The following is a 16848-nucleotide window of genomic DNA, read 5'->3' on the forward strand; positions in this document are numbered from 1 at the left end:
CAAATGTTTAGCGCCTGCTCCCGAATCCCACACGAATCATAGATCAGAACCCTGGATGGTTCTGGAAACAATGACCTACACACCTTCATCCCTTCAAGCTACCCATGGAGACCCTTCAATCTCCAGGTGTGTGCCCAGTTCTAACCATGTTCTGGAAACATGGAAAATGAACGACAGGGAATTCCCTGGCTCTGCATACTCCCATGTCCCAGGTGCTGTTTGCTGGAAGCCAGTGTTTCTTGAAAAGACTAAGACACGGGAACAGATTTCTCCACAAAACAGTAGCATCGCTCTAGTGCATTAATAATCATCCCATGGTAACTTAACCCACACTTTCCACTTTCTATAAGTAGGTGTGTCTGTATGTGTATACACCTGCGTCTATATGTCTATATCTACACCTGTACCTACGTCTACACGGACGCCTACACCTGTACCTACACCTATACCTACAGCTATGTCTGTATGTCTATATCTGCACCTGTACCTACTTCTCCACCGACACCTATACATACACTTGTACCTACACCTGTATGTATATCTACACCTACACCTACATCTATATCTATATGTCTATATATATACCTACCTCTACACCTACACATATACCTACACCTGCATCTATATCTATGCCTGTATCTGTACCTACATGTATACCTATACCTACATCTATACCTACGCACATAGCTCCACCTGTATCTACACCTATATCTACACCTTCACCTACATCTACATCTATACCTATAGCTATGCCTTTGTCTATATCTATACCTACACCTATACAGACACCTACATCTACATCTACACCTACACCTATGTCACCTATGCCGACACCTCACCTACACCTGCACCTACACCTGCACCTAAACTAACACCTGCATCTATACCTACAGCTATACCTGTATTAATATATCCACACCTACCCCTACACCTCTCTCTCTTTTTCTATCTCTGTCTCTGTCTCTACCTCTTTCATCTCTATTTATCTCTATCTCTATTTCTGTCTCTCTCTCTATCATCCTTATCTCTATCGCTGTCTTATATCTGTCTCTATCGCTATCTCTATATCTATCTCCATCTCTAGATCTGTCTCCATCCCTATCTCTATCTCTATCTCTGTCTCTATCTCTATCTTTAACCTCTCTCTATCTCTATATCTGTTTCCATCTCTATCTCTATCTCGGTCTCTCTCTCTATCATCCTTATCTCTATATCTGTCTCTATCTCTATCTCTAACCTCTCTCTATCTCTATATCTGTCTCCATCTCTATCTGTCTCCATCCCTATCTCTATCTGTCTCTATCCCTATATCTCTCTCTATCTCTATATGTGTCTCCATCTCTGTCTCTATCTCTATCATCTTTATCTCTATTTCTGTCTTTATATCTGTCTCTGTCTCTATCTCTATATCTCTCTCTATCTCTATATGTGTCTCCATCTCTGTCTCTATCTCTATCATCTTTATCTCTGTTTCTGTCTCTATCTCTCTATCTCTCTCTGTCTCTATATGTGTCTCCATCTCTGTCTCTATCTCTATCATCTTTATCTCTATTTCTGTCTTTATATCTGTCTCTGTCTCTATCTCTATATCTCTCTCTATCTCTATATGTGTCTCCATCTCTATCTCTGTCTCTATCATCTTTGTCTCTATTTCTGTCTTTATATCTGTCTCTGTCTCTATCTCTATATGTGTCTCCGTCTCCATCTCTGTCTCTATCTCTATCATCTTTCTCTATTTCTGTCTTTATATCTGTCTCTGTCTCTATCTCTATATGTGTCTCCATGTCTATCTCTATCTCTGTCTCTATCATCTTTATCTCTATTTCTGTCTTTATCTCTGTCTCAATCTCTATCTCTAACCTCTCTCTATCTCTATATCTGTCTCCATCTCTGTCTCTATCTCTATTATCTTCATCTCTGTTTCTATCTCAGGCTCTATCTCTAGCTCTATGTATCTCTATTGCCTTTTTTCCAACCTAGCTTCTTGCACTCATTCCCACTCTAGGACACAGCCTTAAGGCGACTTATTAAACTGAAGGAACCACTTCAATCAAAGCTCCAAGTGGCTTTAAGAGTGAAGACCTTGACCTGGGTCTGTGAGGATGGGACCTCGGTGCCTGTGGGGCTCTCGTTTTGTCGTGTCTGGGGGTGTCTAGTTCTCGGGCTGTTTTCTGCTGCAGAGTATGGAAGGCTGAGTGATAGATGCAGGTGTGATGTTTTAGGTTAGAGATCAAAGTCTTACACATCAGGAATCGCTGTCCCTTGAGACGCCATTTGTGGAAACACATAAAGTCTTCAGGCCTACATGGAGTCAACCCCCTCCAGTGTTCCCAGAGTTTTCCTGCTCTCTTGGCCAGTGCTTTGTGTCCTCACATTGGGTCCCTGGGGTGTGAGGTTTCACAAAGAGGGGGCTGGGGACCAGGGGCTGCTCATGGACTCCCCCAGAAATTACAGGCCCTCCCAGGGGTGGGGAGGGCGGTGGGTGGCTCGCCTTTCAGGGACTTGTGTAGTTCTCAGAGGGGCAGGCTTTGTGCCAGCAGGCTACCTTCATGTTGGGGGCCTGGAGGTGTCACAGTGCAAGCCGCCCACCTGAGGTATCCACCACACCTTCCTGCCACAGTGCGTGTGTGCATGCATGCCCCCACACAGGCACAGGCACATGCATATATGTGTGCACGCACATGTGTGCACATGCGTGCATAGGCTCACACACGCATGCGAGCAAGCACACATCAGCACACACGTGCACAGGGACACAGGCACATGCATAGTGAAGAGCCTGACCAACGGCTGCACCACAGCCTGAGGGACCCCGAGCAGAGGGCCCAGCTTGGCTGCGCCCAGTTTCCGGCCCACGAGGACCAAGGGAGGAAACTTGTGTTTCCAGCAGCTATGTTTGCTGCGTTCTCTTCTGCAGCAACAGGTAACAAATATGATGCTGAATGGAGGAATTGAAGGGTATCTGTAGTCCAGTGGCCTCATTTTGAGGGTAGGAGACAGATGTTCAGAGAGAGAAGTGATTTTTCTGGGCACCTGGGGCCAGGTTGTGGCAGAGTCTGAATTTAAGCCTGTCCTCGCCTGCCCCGCACTCCCTGTGAGGCGATTTGCGTGCTCTGAGAAGATGACATTGTGAGCCCCTGCCTCCCTGCACAGCAGAGGAGGGCAGCCCCACGCACTGGGTGTGGGAGTGACTCTCAGACGAGGCAGGCAGTGTGCGCCTTACAGAAGAGGGAGTGGAGGCAAGAGAAAGCCCACCCCTCACTACGTTCTCTCCCTGGAGAGGGGTCGGGTCTGAAGCCCCTAGCTTTACCACTGTGACATGGCTGCTTAAACTGGAGACCCTTCGAGAATACAGGGATCAGGATGGGAGCCACTTCTTGAGTCTGATTTATTTTTTTCACGAAGAATGAATGAGAAATGGGATGTAGCATGAGTTGTGAGTTGTTGTGTTGAAATAATAAGGGAAAATGTGCTACCCTGCCCAGGACCTTGAGGCTCCATTGAGGCAGATGCCCACCTGGCCACTGTGGGTGGAAAATAAAGACCTCTGCTCACTCATGTCCCTTTCCTGAGAGCAGAAAGAAGCCTGCTTCTCTGGAGGGTGCAGAAGAGATCTCTGCAGGCGAGGCGTGTGGGATGCTCTGCTGTAGACCCACGGCACAACAGGCGGCTTTGTGGGCTGAGCCCTGGCCTGGATAGAGGGTCAAATCGCAGCAGGCGCCATGTGCTGGTGGCTGCTCTTTTCAGGACGTGTCCCCGGTGGCAGGAGGAGGCTGGGTGTGGAGCACTCTCATGTTCACTTTGCTGGTAGGAGCAGGCTGGGTGTGGAGCACTCTCGTGTTCACTTTGGTGGCAGGAGAAGACTGGGTGGGGAGCACACTTGTGAGCACTTTGGTGTTGGGAGGAGGCTGGGTGTGGAGCACTCTCGTTTTCACTTTGCTGGTAGGAGAGGCTGGGTGGGGAGTACACTTCACTTTGGTGGTAGAAGGAGGCTGGGTGGGGAGCACTCTTGTGTTCACTTTGGTGGCAGGAGGAGACTGGGTGGGGAGTAGACTCGTGTGCACTTTGGTGGTAGGAGGAGGCTAGATGGGGAGCACTCTTGTGTTCACTTTGGTGGTAGAAGAAGGCTGCGTGGGGAGCACTTTCGTGTGCACTTTGGTAGTAGGAGGCTGGGTGGGGAGCACACTTATGTTCTCTTTGGTGGTAGGAGGAGGTGGGTGGGGAGCAGACTTCACTTTGATGGCAGGAGGAGGTTGGATGGGGAACACTCTTGTGTTCACTTTGGTGATAGGAGGAAGCTGCGTGGGGAACACTCTCATATTCACTTTGGTGGTGGGAAGAGGCTGGGTGGGGAGCACTCTCCTGTTCACCCTGGAGGTGGGAGGAGGCTGGGTGGGGAGCACGCTCGTGTTCACCCTGGAGGTGGGAGAAGGCTGGGTGGGGAGCACTCTGGTGTTCACTTTGGTGGTGGGGGAGGCTGGGTGGGGAGCACTCTGGTGTTCACTTTAGTGGTGGGAGGAGGCTGGGTGGGGAGCACACTCACGTTCAACTAGAACCTCAGGGCTGTCACAAGTGGGGGCCAGGCTCGAGGCTCAGCATTGTGGCCTCAGAAGGGCCCAAAGAGTTCTCCCAAAGGAGAACTCTCCCATGACGCCAAGGTTGCCTCCTCAGCCATGTCCCTTGTGGCTTCACCTATTATCCCAGCTGTTGGCCAGCTTGGTTGCCTTTCCATCTGTGACCCCCTCCTCCACTGCCTTCTTCCTCACTGTGCCTGACTTCCCCATCCACACAGCATTTTGTACCGAAGCCGACCGATGCCACAGCGCAGGCCCCTGAGGGGCGCTTTGCTGTGCAGGCTCCAGCCTCTCCTGCATCTGCTTGGCAAAGTGAGGTCCACCTCCTTGGGTTTTTGCCTCTTTCTAAACACCACCTGCAAACTGCCTCCCCGCAAAGGAAAGTAGCAGGGACTTGTCCTCCCCAGGGCACTGCACACAGGCTCGAAGCCTGGTCGGGAGGCTCTTTGGTCAGGCTGGAAAGAGCTTTGACAAGACAGAGTGGCCCCTGCTGGGCTGGGGTGTGCTGGGGAGAGTCCCTTTTCCTCTGACTCCTGAACTCATCAGGCAACAGTACAGGAGGTTGAGACGAGGCTCTGGCAGGGTCAGAGTCACAGGGCAGGAGGTAACCACTTGAGGGCCATGGGGCCGGAAGTAGCTAAGGTCCCATGCGATGACCTCCCAGCATCCTGAGCTCAACCCTGAAAAGGGGCTGCAAGGACAATCACAGCAATTATCTTCTTCATTTTGCTACAGGCACAGAGCAGACACCACACAGCTTCCTTGTCGCCTTCCCTCATGTGCGCACAGCACGGGTGTCATTTAGACATACAGTAGAATGTGTGGCAATTACATCAGAATCATCACACCAAATGTGGCTGTATCCTTTGTTAATCAAAGTTTATCTGTGTTAGTTAATGGTGTGAAGGAAGCCTATGTAGAGAAATTACCAACTGTCTGTAAGAAATCCAACATAAACATCCTTTTGTGGCCAAAGAAAAGCATGCTTCAGCCAGAGCCCCGGCATCCACCCTCTTTCCTGCCATGAAGCTTTGCCACCTTTTCAACACAGCACCTTGTATTTCAATGCTGGGAGTTCACTGTCAAGGTGCCCCAGTGCTGGGTGAGACACCCCCCACCTCGCCAATGTCTTTTTGGAAGACTGAGCCTAAAACCAGCAGTGTCTCAGAGACGGAGAGATTGTCGCAGCGTCTCAGAGACGGAGGGACCGTCGCAGCGTCTCAGAGACGGAGGGACCGTCGCAGCGTCTCAGAGACGGAGGGACCGTCGCAGCGTCTCAGAGACGGAGGGACCGTCGCAGCGTCTCAGAGACGGAGGGACCGTCGCAGCGTCTCAGAGACGGAGGGATTGTCGCAGCGTCTCAGAGATGGAGGGATTGTCACAGTGTCTCAGAGATGGAGAGATTGCCAAAGGGGGTTGATGGGCTATTTCAGACCAAACTAAACAGCACAGGACCTGCGCTTCTGGCTGGGGTTGTCGCTGTGCCCAAGGAGTGTTGCTTTGGGGACAGTCATCCAGGACGGATCCCCTCCCTCCTCCTCGGGGCCTTTGGGTTGGTGGCTGCTGCCAAGAGAAGGCTGTGGCTGTGCCTCTTTCCAAAGCCCACAAAACCGGGAGAGCCTTCACCGCAGTCCTCAGCATGTAATCCCCAGGACACTGCGCGTGTGTTGTACTTGCACAAGCATGCACACACACCCAGACACGCTGATACACACACATCCAGCACAACCCGACTCTCAGGTAAGCCTGGCCTGCAGAAGCCTGAGCCTTTTGCTCACATGTTTGCCAGTGCGTAGGCTGGATGACAGGCCTGCAGCCAGTACCGGAACCTGGTGCTCCAGAGCAGAAGAGCTGCTCCTTGACAATCAGACCGAGCGCGCATTCATTTATGGACAAGCTTTGTGTTCCACAATGGGGTCCTGGGGTGGGTCGGGATGCACCGTGACAGGGCCAGCAGCGACTCTCCCCTGCCCCGGACATGGAAAACCTGGAACACAAGAGTCATCAGCCCTCTCGGTGTTCGACTGAATCATGGGGCAAGCCTGTGTGTGCACATGTGTGTGAACATATGAGCATGTGTGCACGTGTGAACGTGGGCTTGTGTGCATGCACATGTGCATGTAGGAATGTGTGTATACTCTGTGTGTCGCCAGCTGACCCGGTGTTTGGTTCTTGGGTCTACTTAGAGGCTGATACTTTGTGTCCTTGTGTCCAGAGAGGATTTGAAATGCGGAGCAGCGCCTGTTCTGGAATTTTCTGTGGCTGCTCAGCTCTCTCCCAGGGAGCGCGGGTCTTGAGCCACAGCAGAGGGCATCAGCCTCAGCAAGCCCAGACCCGCCCGGAGGCTCCGCTTCTGCAAACTCAGCCGGACTTGGGAGGGCCGCCCAGAGAGAAGTGGGTTTCGGTGAGGGGAGGGGTGAGGGAAGGGGTGGGCCCACTGCTTTTGTTTATTGTTTGCTTTATTTGTTTTGTTTTGTTTTTCCTGACTAAGCCCTTTGCTCTTCTTGTTTCTAGGGGGAAGATCAGGTTCTTCGGCTGCTCTGTAGGGAGCAGCCTCCCCGCGTCCAGGCAGTCCTGAGTCAGCAGGACCCCGTCCGTTCGTCTTTCACCCCCATTCCTTGCTACTCCAGGGGCCGCGCCAGCAGCATTTTCCCAGGCAGCCGGTCGTCATCCTCCTCCCTGCAGCCTCCTCCTGCGCCCTCTCACGAGGCGCTGGGGCCTGGTGCGGAAGGATTTACAGGGAAGGAATGTCGGGCTCCTCCGGCTGGGAGCGCACCTGCGCAGGGAGGGTCCTGTCCCACCACACCTGGCCCCCTGGGGAACAGCGGGTGAGTGCTGCTGCAGGAAGGAGCAGGAGAGACGCACTGCTCCCCGCTCCTCTCTCCGCTTCCCTCCTCTCCTCCCACCTCCCCCATCTCCTCCGTCCCCTGTCTCCGCCCCTCCTTGTCCTCAGGAAGCCATATCCCACTCTGGTGGAGTGGCTCAGGCCGCTGATGAGGGTGCTCGGGGCAGGGCTCTTCTCTGAGTGACGTTGGAGGTTTTCACGGTGAACACAGAAAGGGGCACTCCGTCCGAGCTGAGCCTCAGGGACCGTGAGGCTTGCTCTTGGCCCTGCTGCTCATACAGCCCTCCGTGCCTCGCTTCCCTCCCACAGCAAGGAAGGATGACGGGTGCGGGGTCTGCACGGTGGCGCGGGGTGGCCGCGTTGCTCAGGAGGCACTTGCAGGTCACCACTGCTGCTTACACAGCCTTACTCTAGCAAGGCCCTGGGCAGCCACACTGTGACACTCGGAACGTCACACCTGGCGTTTTCCAAATGAATTGAATGGGTAGGAATCTCCACATCCCTGGATACTTCGCAGAGTTGCGGAGGGACTGGCCACGCAGCTCCGCAGACAGCCGCCTCCCACACGCACTCAGGTACACACAACCCTCACCTGCAGCCTAGGCCTTCAACACCTGATGCTCACGGAACTTTCTGGAGCTTCCAGGGAGTGACAGGAGCTTCCCGGGGAGCTCTGCATTTCCTGGGAAACTCTGTTTCCCAGGGAGCTCCTTCCCTTCTAGGCCCCGCGTCTGCAGTGACAGCTGGGAGGCCTGGACTCAGAGCGGTGACCTTTCCTCACCTCTCCCTGGCACGTCTGCGCCTCTGCCCCTATGGCATTTGGAAGCCCCCCCGCCCCCCCGCCCACCACACACACACCGCTGCCTCTGCCGCAGGACATGAGTGGCGGCTGCCAGATGACACCTGTCTGCTGGCCAGAGCGGGCGCCTGACCTCGCTGGCCTGCACTGGAGGCTCTGCAGGTGGGGAAGGCAGCGTGCAGTGGCCATCTGGCATGTCCCAGAGGCTCCCGGCCTGGGTGGTGACAGGTTCCCCTCGCCCCTCATGGCCCACGCTCAGGATGGGCTGGTCCTGCATCCTTGGGCCCCGTGTGAACGTGGAAATGCCCAGCCCCTGCTGCCCTCCCGTCCTTCTACATGGGGACAGGAATGTGACTCTCCCGGTGGCAGTGACCACCGCCTGCAGGGGCCTGCTGGCCTCCCTTTTGCACCCGGCTCAGGTGCCTCCTGGCCGAGACTCCTTGAGGCCACTGTGTGACACACACCACACACCCCTGGCACCAGAGGCCCGGGAAGGGCCAGCCCCTCCTAGCGGCTTCTCCGGCCCTATGGGGGAGGGTGGGCACATGCTTGGCAACCCCTGGAGAGAAGGGGAGGGGCCACATCCAGTCCATCTATCTTCGCTTTTTACATTTTTATCCAGCAAGCATGTGTTTCATCATGTTAAAAGAGCAATCCATATTCTAAAAATCATGAGAAAGAATTGAAGGTAGCTTCCTGGCAGGAAGAATGAAATCGTGGGTCCCACCACAAGACACCGTCACCTTGCTCCCCATTTCCTTTCCCATTTAAACATTTTTGTTTTATTTTTTATAGAGATGGGGTCTCACTATGTTTCCTAAGCTGGTCTTGAACTCCTGGCCTCAAGTGATCCTCCTGCCCGAGTAGCTGGGACCACAGGCACGCACCATACCTCGCTGACTTTTGCATTTTTTTGCAGAGACGAGTCTCACAACATTGTCCAGGCTGGTCTCGAACTCCTGAGCTCCAGCGATCCCCCCCACCTCAGCCTCCCAAAGCGATATGATTGAAGGTGTGAGTCACCGCACCTGGTCTCTCTCTCTCTCCCTCCCTCCCTCTCTCTCTCTTTCTCTTTCTCTCTTTCTTTCTTTCTTTCTTTTTCTTCTTTCTTTCTTCTTTCTTTTTCTTCTTTCATCTTTCTCCCTCTCTCTTTTCCTTCCTTCCTCCCTCCCTCCCTCCCTCCCTCCCTTCCTTGTAATAGACTTTAGTTTTTAGAGTGTTTTTGGGCTTATGGAAAGAGTGACCAGAAAGTGCAGAGTTCCCACATATGCCCCACCTGCCTCCCTGGTTGCTACTAGTGTCCCGCCTTAGAGTGGAGCGTTTGTCATAGTCCTGCCAATGCTGCTGTCATTCACTGGAGTCCGTGGTGCACCGGAGGGCTCATGCCTGCTGCGGCACATCCTGTGGTTTGGACAAATGGAAAGTGACATGCGTTCCCCACTATGGCATCACACAGGGGAATGTCACCACCTAAACCCCTCTAGGCTCTGCCCGCTCATCCCCCTGCCTCAGCCCTTGGCAACCACAGCTCTTCCTGCTGTCTCCTGAGTTCTGCCTTTCCCAGGGGTCAGGGTGGGGATCGTGTTGTGTGCATCCTTCCCAGACTGGCTCCTTCCCTCAGCAGCAGGCACTGAGGGCTCCTCTGTGCCTCTCATTGTTTACCTCCCTGCCTGATGGCTTCTCCTGGGTGACACCTGCTGTGCCTAGGGCCATCTCGTGGCCCCTGCTGCCTCATGCTCTGGGGTTCAGGGTGCATTCCCATCTCCTCTGTCGCCTGGTGGCTCACTGTGGCCTCTTCCCTGCCTCTACCACAGGTGTTTTTCTGGGCATAAAATCTATTCCTGACTCCATCTGGAGCTCCCAGTGGTTCAGGGCATGGAGACCAGGCACACGTAAAGATTGCATCTCTGACTGAATTGAGAATAAGCTGCCTTCAGGACTCACGCTTGATCAACCTCGCCAAGGCTGAGGTGGGAGGGTTGCTTGAGCCCAGGAGTGGGCAACATAGCAAGACCTTGTCTCTACTAAAAATAAGAAAATTAGCAAGCATGGTGGCACATGCCTTTGGTCCTAGCTACTTGGGAGGATGAGGTGGAAGGACTGCTCGAGCCCAGGATTTCAAGGCTGCAGTGAGCTATGATTGTGCCACTGCACTCCAGCCTGGGCAACAGAACAAGACCCCGTCTCAAAAAAGAAAAGATAAACAAAGCAACCTCTTATTTCCAAAGCTTGCAGCTCTGCAGCTGGAGGGCTGTGTGGGCACTTTCTTGGCAACATGGGCCCTGTGGCCATGAATGGCAGCGGTCACCTTCCTGGATGGGGCTGACTTTTCTCTAGCCTGAGCCACAGCCTGAGCCTCTGACTCCACTCAGTGTGACCTGCAGACAATTGTTTGCGGCCCCATTCTAATTCCCTCCTAGGGACTCTCAGCCATCTTTCTTTTTCCTTGTGGCAAGAGATGGCCAGGACTTTGGAATGGGCAATGGGTTTACTGAAGATCACGTCCGTGGAATGCTGGGCTCTGGCGTGGTCTGACCCTTGCAGTGAGCCTCTTTTCTCAGCTATTTCATGACTCTATCCAGATAGGAGCTACCTTAGGAAAAGAGCAACACCTACGATTCCTATCCATAGAATGGCTTTAGTCGGGTCCCATGGAATACAATTGATTACACCCTGAGCTCAGATCAGGTTCTACAAATTCATGCTGACATTCCTGCACTGTAGATAAACCTGCGTCCTGTGGCTTCCCTGCCCTAGGTGCAGCTCCAGCTCCTTCCTTAACTCCACTGGTATTCCCTTTAATCTGCAGGAGGGGCCAGTGATTGACTTTGGGTGTACACTGTCCCTCCACACCACTTCCCTGTCTTCCATGGTTTTTTGTATTCATTTTCTTCCACCTCCCAGGCACTGACCCCCAGTAGTGACCCTGGGGGGAGACCATGCCAGGAAGCACACTGGCTGGGGCGACCCTGAGGCATCCCAGGGAGAGGCAGGAGCCAGAGGCAGCAGGAGCTGAAAGGAGATACCTGTTCTCTGCAGGTCTGTGCTGTGCACCCTCTGCACCCACGAGGCATCCTCAGAAGTGGGGAGGGAGAAGGAGGGATGGAGGAGTCTTTTAGCATAGTGTGGCCTCCATCTTCCCTCCCCAGGACACCGGGGACCATCCTGAGGGTGGCCTGAGTTGAGGGCCCCTCTGCAGAGGCTGGCAGTCAGGCCCACATCCCGAGAGCGGGACAGGGACATTTGGCCAGGCAGTTGAAGCTGGAGGTTCAGACGGCCGTTTATTTGGGGATTTATGACCTTAAGGGTCCCTCTGGAGTGGAGAAGAGCAGCTGCCTCCTCTGCTCAGCCTGGACACCCCTCCTGCCTGTTGGGACACTCTGTGGGTGCCGCCTGTGAGTCCTGAAATGTGCGATGTCCTGTACGTGCTGCCCAGCTCGATGTGAGGCAACGCGCTGTCCCCATGCCTCTCGCGGGGCCCATCAGTCATCCCTGAGCACAGACTCCGCTTGCCCTGCACTTACAGCCGTCACGTCGCTAAATGGCTCTGCCTGTTACCGCAGCGCAAATACATGATCCTTTCACTTTGCAGATTCCATGTAATTGTGCGTGGACTGTGTCAGCTTCGGATTTAATTGGTGTGTAGGCTGCGAGGCATGAATTACAGCATGTGTAATTTATTTATGCAATACAATTTACCATTAACTGAGAGAGGAAAAATAAAGAGAAAAATAATATGTTTTGTACTATAATTACATAATAAAGTTTGAATTAGGAATATCACTTGGCCCACAAACTTCCTCTGGCCTGAGAAAGATCAGAAAGCAACGTCGTCTCTTCAGTTCCTTCCTGGATTCTCAGGAGGAGCAGGTCTCCCTCTAAGTGCCACGGGACAAGCGCGTTGGTGGTAAACGGAGCCGCGGGGAAGAGTGGGGCCTTTGAGAACCAGCTGCATTGACGGGGACATGGCCAGCCCAGGTCAACTGGGGAGAGATGGAGAAAAGTAGGGGACGGATAAAGAGAAAGTTACTTTTTTTCTTATATAAAATGAATCGTGAAAACTGCTCACTGGATAGCCAGGCCACTTACTCATAAAGAAAAAGCAAGAGAAATGCCTGCCACTGCGCCTGGGAGTCCATTCCCAGGTCTAGGGCCACCCCAGAGCTCCCGGTCACCCTCAAGCTGAAATGTTAGACGCGGAGGGCTGGCTTCCCATGACATTTTCACCGGAGCCCCTGGCATGACTCAAAATCTGTGGTTCTTCAAAATGATGAACATGGGCTCCCGTTGTCTCCTCACGCGGGAAGGTCCAGGAGCCCACACCCAGGTGTGACTCTATTCTGCTGCGGTGACTCCGGACGTGAGGCTGGGACGAGCCTGAGGGAGCTGCGTGCTCGCCAGCGCCTCCCGGCCCACCTCTGCGGTCCGTCCTCCGGAGCCCACCCCGGCTCCACCTTGGCTCCCAGGCCGGCACCCCCGGGCTGAGCACAGGGCCAGGGGCAGGCGGGTTCCAGAGGGAGCATTTCCAAGGGAGGAGGAAAACCAAAGTGCCTGCCAGGCAGGGGGCAAGGACAGAGGGGAAACGCCCCCGCTCCCAGGGCCGGGTGAGAGACGGTGGGGACCAGCTCAGGGACCCCCACCCAGAGGGGCCGCCACTTCCACGGGGAATGCTGGTCGGAGTGGGCTCCGGACCTTCCCGCGTGAGGAGACAACAGGAGCCCAGGCTTGACGTGGCCTCTCCGCCTCAAACCCGGGCCGCTGGCTCCCCGCACAGGCTGGGGCGGCGTGGGGCGGGCGGAAGAGCCCGATCCCTCTGCGGCCGGCCTGGTTGATTCGGGCCCAGCGGACCCTGCCTGGCCCTGGCCCTGGAGGCCGCTGCGGCCCCCACCCAGCTCCTCAGCAGCCACATGGCGCCGGCCCTCACACCCCGGGGCGGCGCACAGGGCCTGGGCCTGACGACGTCCTTAGGGTCCCTGAGCAGCCGGGTCCCCACGGCCCTCGGCGACCCGGGGTCCCCGGGATGGAGCGAGGCTCTGGGCCTTCAGCAGACGCCGGGGCCCCAGACGCCCCTGAACCGAGCTCCAGAGACATCCGAGCCCAGGCTCCTAGAGAACCGCCCCCCGCCGGGTGCGTCCGAGTCAGGGCTCCCCCGAAGGCGGGGACGTCGGGCGAGAAGCAACTGCAAGGACTCGCGTGAAGAAGCCACCGGGAATCATGGCGGCCGCGCTCAGAGGGACGGCTTTGCACGCAAGCTGTATTTTTCTTCAACTCCTCTGTGTTTTTCAGATCTTCTGTAGAAGTGTCTGTAGTGACCATCAGAAAAACAATCTGAAAGAAAGACAGGAATTGCCACCGACCCCAGGGCTGCATTTATTGCTGGACATTTGTCACGGTCTGAGCCGTGTGGACCGGCCCCGCTCAGCCAGAGCCAGGAGGGCTACGAGGGGAGGCGGGGCAGGGTTTGGGGACGATTTCTCTCCGACCGAAGGAGTAATGGGGCCATCACGTAGGCAAGGTCAAAGGACGATGTGGCGGTTGCAGGGTGACCCGAGGTCACGTAGGCAAGGTCAAAGGACGATGTGGCGGTTGCAGGGTGACCCGAGGTCACGTAGGGAAGGTCAAAGGACGATGTGGTGGTTGCAGGGTGACCCGAGGTCACGTAGGCAAGGTCAAAGGACGATGTGGGGGTTGCAGGGTGACCCGAGGTCACGTAGGGAAGGTCAAAGGACGATGTGGCGGTTGCAGGGTGACCCGAGGTCACGTAGGCAAGGTCAAAGGACGATGTGGCGGTTGCAGGGTGACCCGAGGTCACGTAGGGAAGGTCAAAGGACGATGTGGCGGTTGCAGGGTGACCCGAGGTCACGTAGGGAAGGTCAAAGGACGATGTGGGGGTTGCAGGGTGACCCGAGGTCACGTAGGCAAGGTCAAAGGACGATGTGGCGGTTGCAGGGTGACCCGAGGTCACGTAGGGAAGGTCAAAGGACGATGTGGGGGTTGCAGGGTGACCCGAGGTCACGTAGGGAAGGTCAAAGGACGATGTGGGGGTTGCAGGGTGACCCGAGGTCATGTAGGCAAGGTCAAAGGACGATGTGGCGGTTGCAGGGTGACCCGAGGTCATGTAGGCAAGGTCAAAGGACGATGTGAGGGTTGCAGGGTGACCCGAGGCCAGCAGTCCTTTGCAGAGTGGATGAGCTTTCAGTGAGGGGTGAAGTGTGGAATGGGACTCGCTGACGAAAGCCCACTCCTCCCTGGGCCAGGAGGGGCGCGGGGCCCAGGGCCGGTGTGGCTGGACGGGGGCCTCCCAGGTGGACGGGCAGGGGGGCTCTGAGAGCAGCTGCCGGGATGGGAGGCGGATGCGTCTGCCTGCTCTGTCCAGGCCTGGGGCCTGTTCCCACCAGGACGTGCCGGAAAGAGGCTCTTGCTCTGTGGGAAAATCATTCTGCTCCTCTTTCCTGTACAGCCCTGAGGCAGAGCCCGCACTGCGGTTTCCTTAGTTGGGAGCTGTGGTTGTGAGGAGCCCCCAGTCTCTATCGTTCAGGGATCCCCTTGACCTCAGTAAAAGCCCCCCTTAAGTCCACCAACCTTCTGAGAGCCTCCACTTGGCTCTGGTGGGGCAGTGCCCTGGAAGAGAGGTTTGGGGCTGCTGATCCTGGCCAAGGGTCTTCCAGAATGACGCTACTCAATGTCCAGGAATCATAGGAGCCCAGTGTCTTGGCCTCACCAGGCTCTGTCACCCCCTCAACCCTGTGGCCCTGCAGTTCTTGAAGCTCAGGTCCCAGTCCTTGGTGACGACTGAACAACCCTGGCCTCTGCTTACTTCTTCAGGAAGCTGGAGCCTTACCCTGTTAGCAACGTCTTTCCAGCATCCCTGGGAGAGAAGCAGCTTGCCAGCCCTCTGGGCTTGGTTTTAAACCTGCAACTGGAGCATGGCCCAGAGGTATGTGTGTGCCTGGGCCCTGCCCAGTGAGCGGGAGCCTGGCTCTGAGCATCCTGCCTGAACATCCCCAGCCCCTGGCGGGGCGACGCCACTGAGCAAGACACCCTGGGAGGTGAATTCGGCAATGGGATGGCACAAAGGCCCAGCTTTCCCATCTAATGAGACAACTTCCACCGAACTCACAACACCGTAAACCTTCTAGAGACCAAGGCAACGTGCACCCAGAAAATGTTTGGATCATTCTCTGCCTAGACTAATTTAGAGGGAAGATTCTCAGCGAATCCAGCCCCCAACCCTTGATTGTCTCCGGCAAGGATGTTAGGTCCCCCTGTGCTTCAACATGTTTGGAACAAGAACCAATTCGTTTGTTCCTAACGTGACACCTGGAGGAGGCAGAGTCGCTGTGGATGCCACGCCACCTCGCAGCCGTGACAGCTAATGACGCCTGCAGTCCCCACCATGGTCCCTGCCTCATCCTCTGTGCCGTTGTCTTGTGTGTTCCATTTATATGAATGGCAACAAAAGTAGAAACCAGGAAAGCAAAATGGCTTCAGTGAGGCTGTTTTGTTTTGTTTTGTTTTTCTTCTTCAACCTGGGAAATTCAGGTCAATAAAAGTGTAACAGAAAGATGAGAAGAAAGAACATCCCGAAGTAGTGTGTTTAAATCGCTCCAGCGCCAAGACCACAAATCCTGGGAAGCACAGGTGTCCTTTTCACGGCCTCGCAAGGAAAGCAGGTGCCTTCTCCACAGAGACTCTTGGTGGGCTCCTCGATTTGGGGTCATCTGCTCCTGCAGCCTGGGCTCGCGGGGGTGAGAACACAACAGGGTGAGCCATTTTGCTGCGGTGCCCCAGGCATCTTCTGGGTGTGGAGGCAACTCCACGTGAGAGGTACCGGTGCGTCCCAGTCCCAGACTTGTGCCACTTTTCTGAGCCCTCTGGGCCGGCCTCATGCCTTCCGGGCCTGCTGAGCTCTGTGCCCTACCTGCCACTCCTGGAGGGCAGGCTGCCACTGTGCTCGCGGGGCCTCGCTGCAGGGTGGGCTCACCAGGGGCAGCTTCTGCGGTGTGTGTCCATCACCTGGTGGCCTGTGATGGGCAGTCAGTCTCGACCAGGGGCTAGTAGGAAGCCAGGGGTGGTTTTCCCACAGGGTCCAATCTTTCTGCAGAGGACAGCATCGATCGGCATCGATCGGCTCCTTAGTCCTGAAGGTCTGCACGGCCATCCTTCCTCAGATCCACTCCAGAGGCTCTGCTGGCTGGTCCTTCTTCGCCACAAATGTTTGGGGTTTCTGGGCCTGCAGCCTGCCCTGCCGTGAGCCTGCATCGAGCCTCATCCTGTGTGTGAGGGGGTCACTGGGCTAGGAGCTCGTGGCTTCTTGAGGGGGTGCAGCAGGGGTGACATCAAACCCAGCCCGTGCTGTTCCCACTGTCCTCCATCCGCATGGTGCCGTGATGCTCGTCCTGAGGTCATGGGGTGAAGCGTCTGCTGCCTTGGGTTTAGGGCGGTCGCCCTCTGCAAGAACATCACAGGAAATGTGCAAACAGGATCTCAGAATGGAACCATCGACATGTTTGAGGGAGTGGCCTGTTTTTATGGAATCCCAGGACAAACCTTGTTGCAAAATGAAAAATCTTTCCACAAAATGACCAAGCGCTCCCTAATAGGCGCCATCTATGAGCCTCACATTTGGG

At 55.2% G+C, this 16848-nt stretch overlaps 1 protein-coding gene and 1 long non-coding RNA gene across 2 annotated transcripts; one reads left to right on the forward strand and one right to left on the reverse strand.

Annotated features, from left to right (window-relative positions):
- Window positions 1-11874: 11874 nt before the first annotated feature.
- LINC02116 (long intergenic non-protein coding RNA 2116) lies at window positions 11875-12473 on the reverse strand. Its single transcript, NR_104602.1, has 2 exons — window positions 12308-12473; window positions 11875-12201 (listed from the first exon to the last, which is right to left on the reverse strand). It is a non-coding gene; the product is annotated as a long intergenic non-protein coding RNA 2116 (long non-coding RNA).
- Window positions 12474-13176: 703 nt separating this feature from the next.
- LOC124901163 (eukaryotic translation initiation factor 3 subunit A) lies at window positions 13177-15794 on the forward strand. Its single transcript, XM_047418001.1, has one exon. It carries the CDS (start codon window positions 13433-13435, stop codon window positions 14360-14362), a length of 930 nt encoding a protein of 309 aa, XP_047273957.1. The 5' UTR covers window positions 13177-13432; the 3' UTR covers window positions 14363-15794.
- Window positions 15795-16848: the final 1054 nt, after the last annotated feature.

This window comes from Homo sapiens, chromosome 5, assembly GCF_000001405.40.
Source record: "Homo sapiens chromosome 5, GRCh38.p14 Primary Assembly".
Classification (NCBI taxonomy): Eukaryota; Metazoa; Chordata; class Mammalia; order Primates; family Hominidae; genus Homo; species Homo sapiens.

Bases quoted from the DNA above. Each gene is read 5' to 3' on its own strand.
- LOC124901163 (XM_047418001.1), top strand. From the start codon at position 13,433: ATGGCGGCCGCGCTCAGAGGGACGGCTTTGCACGCAAGCTGTATTTTT.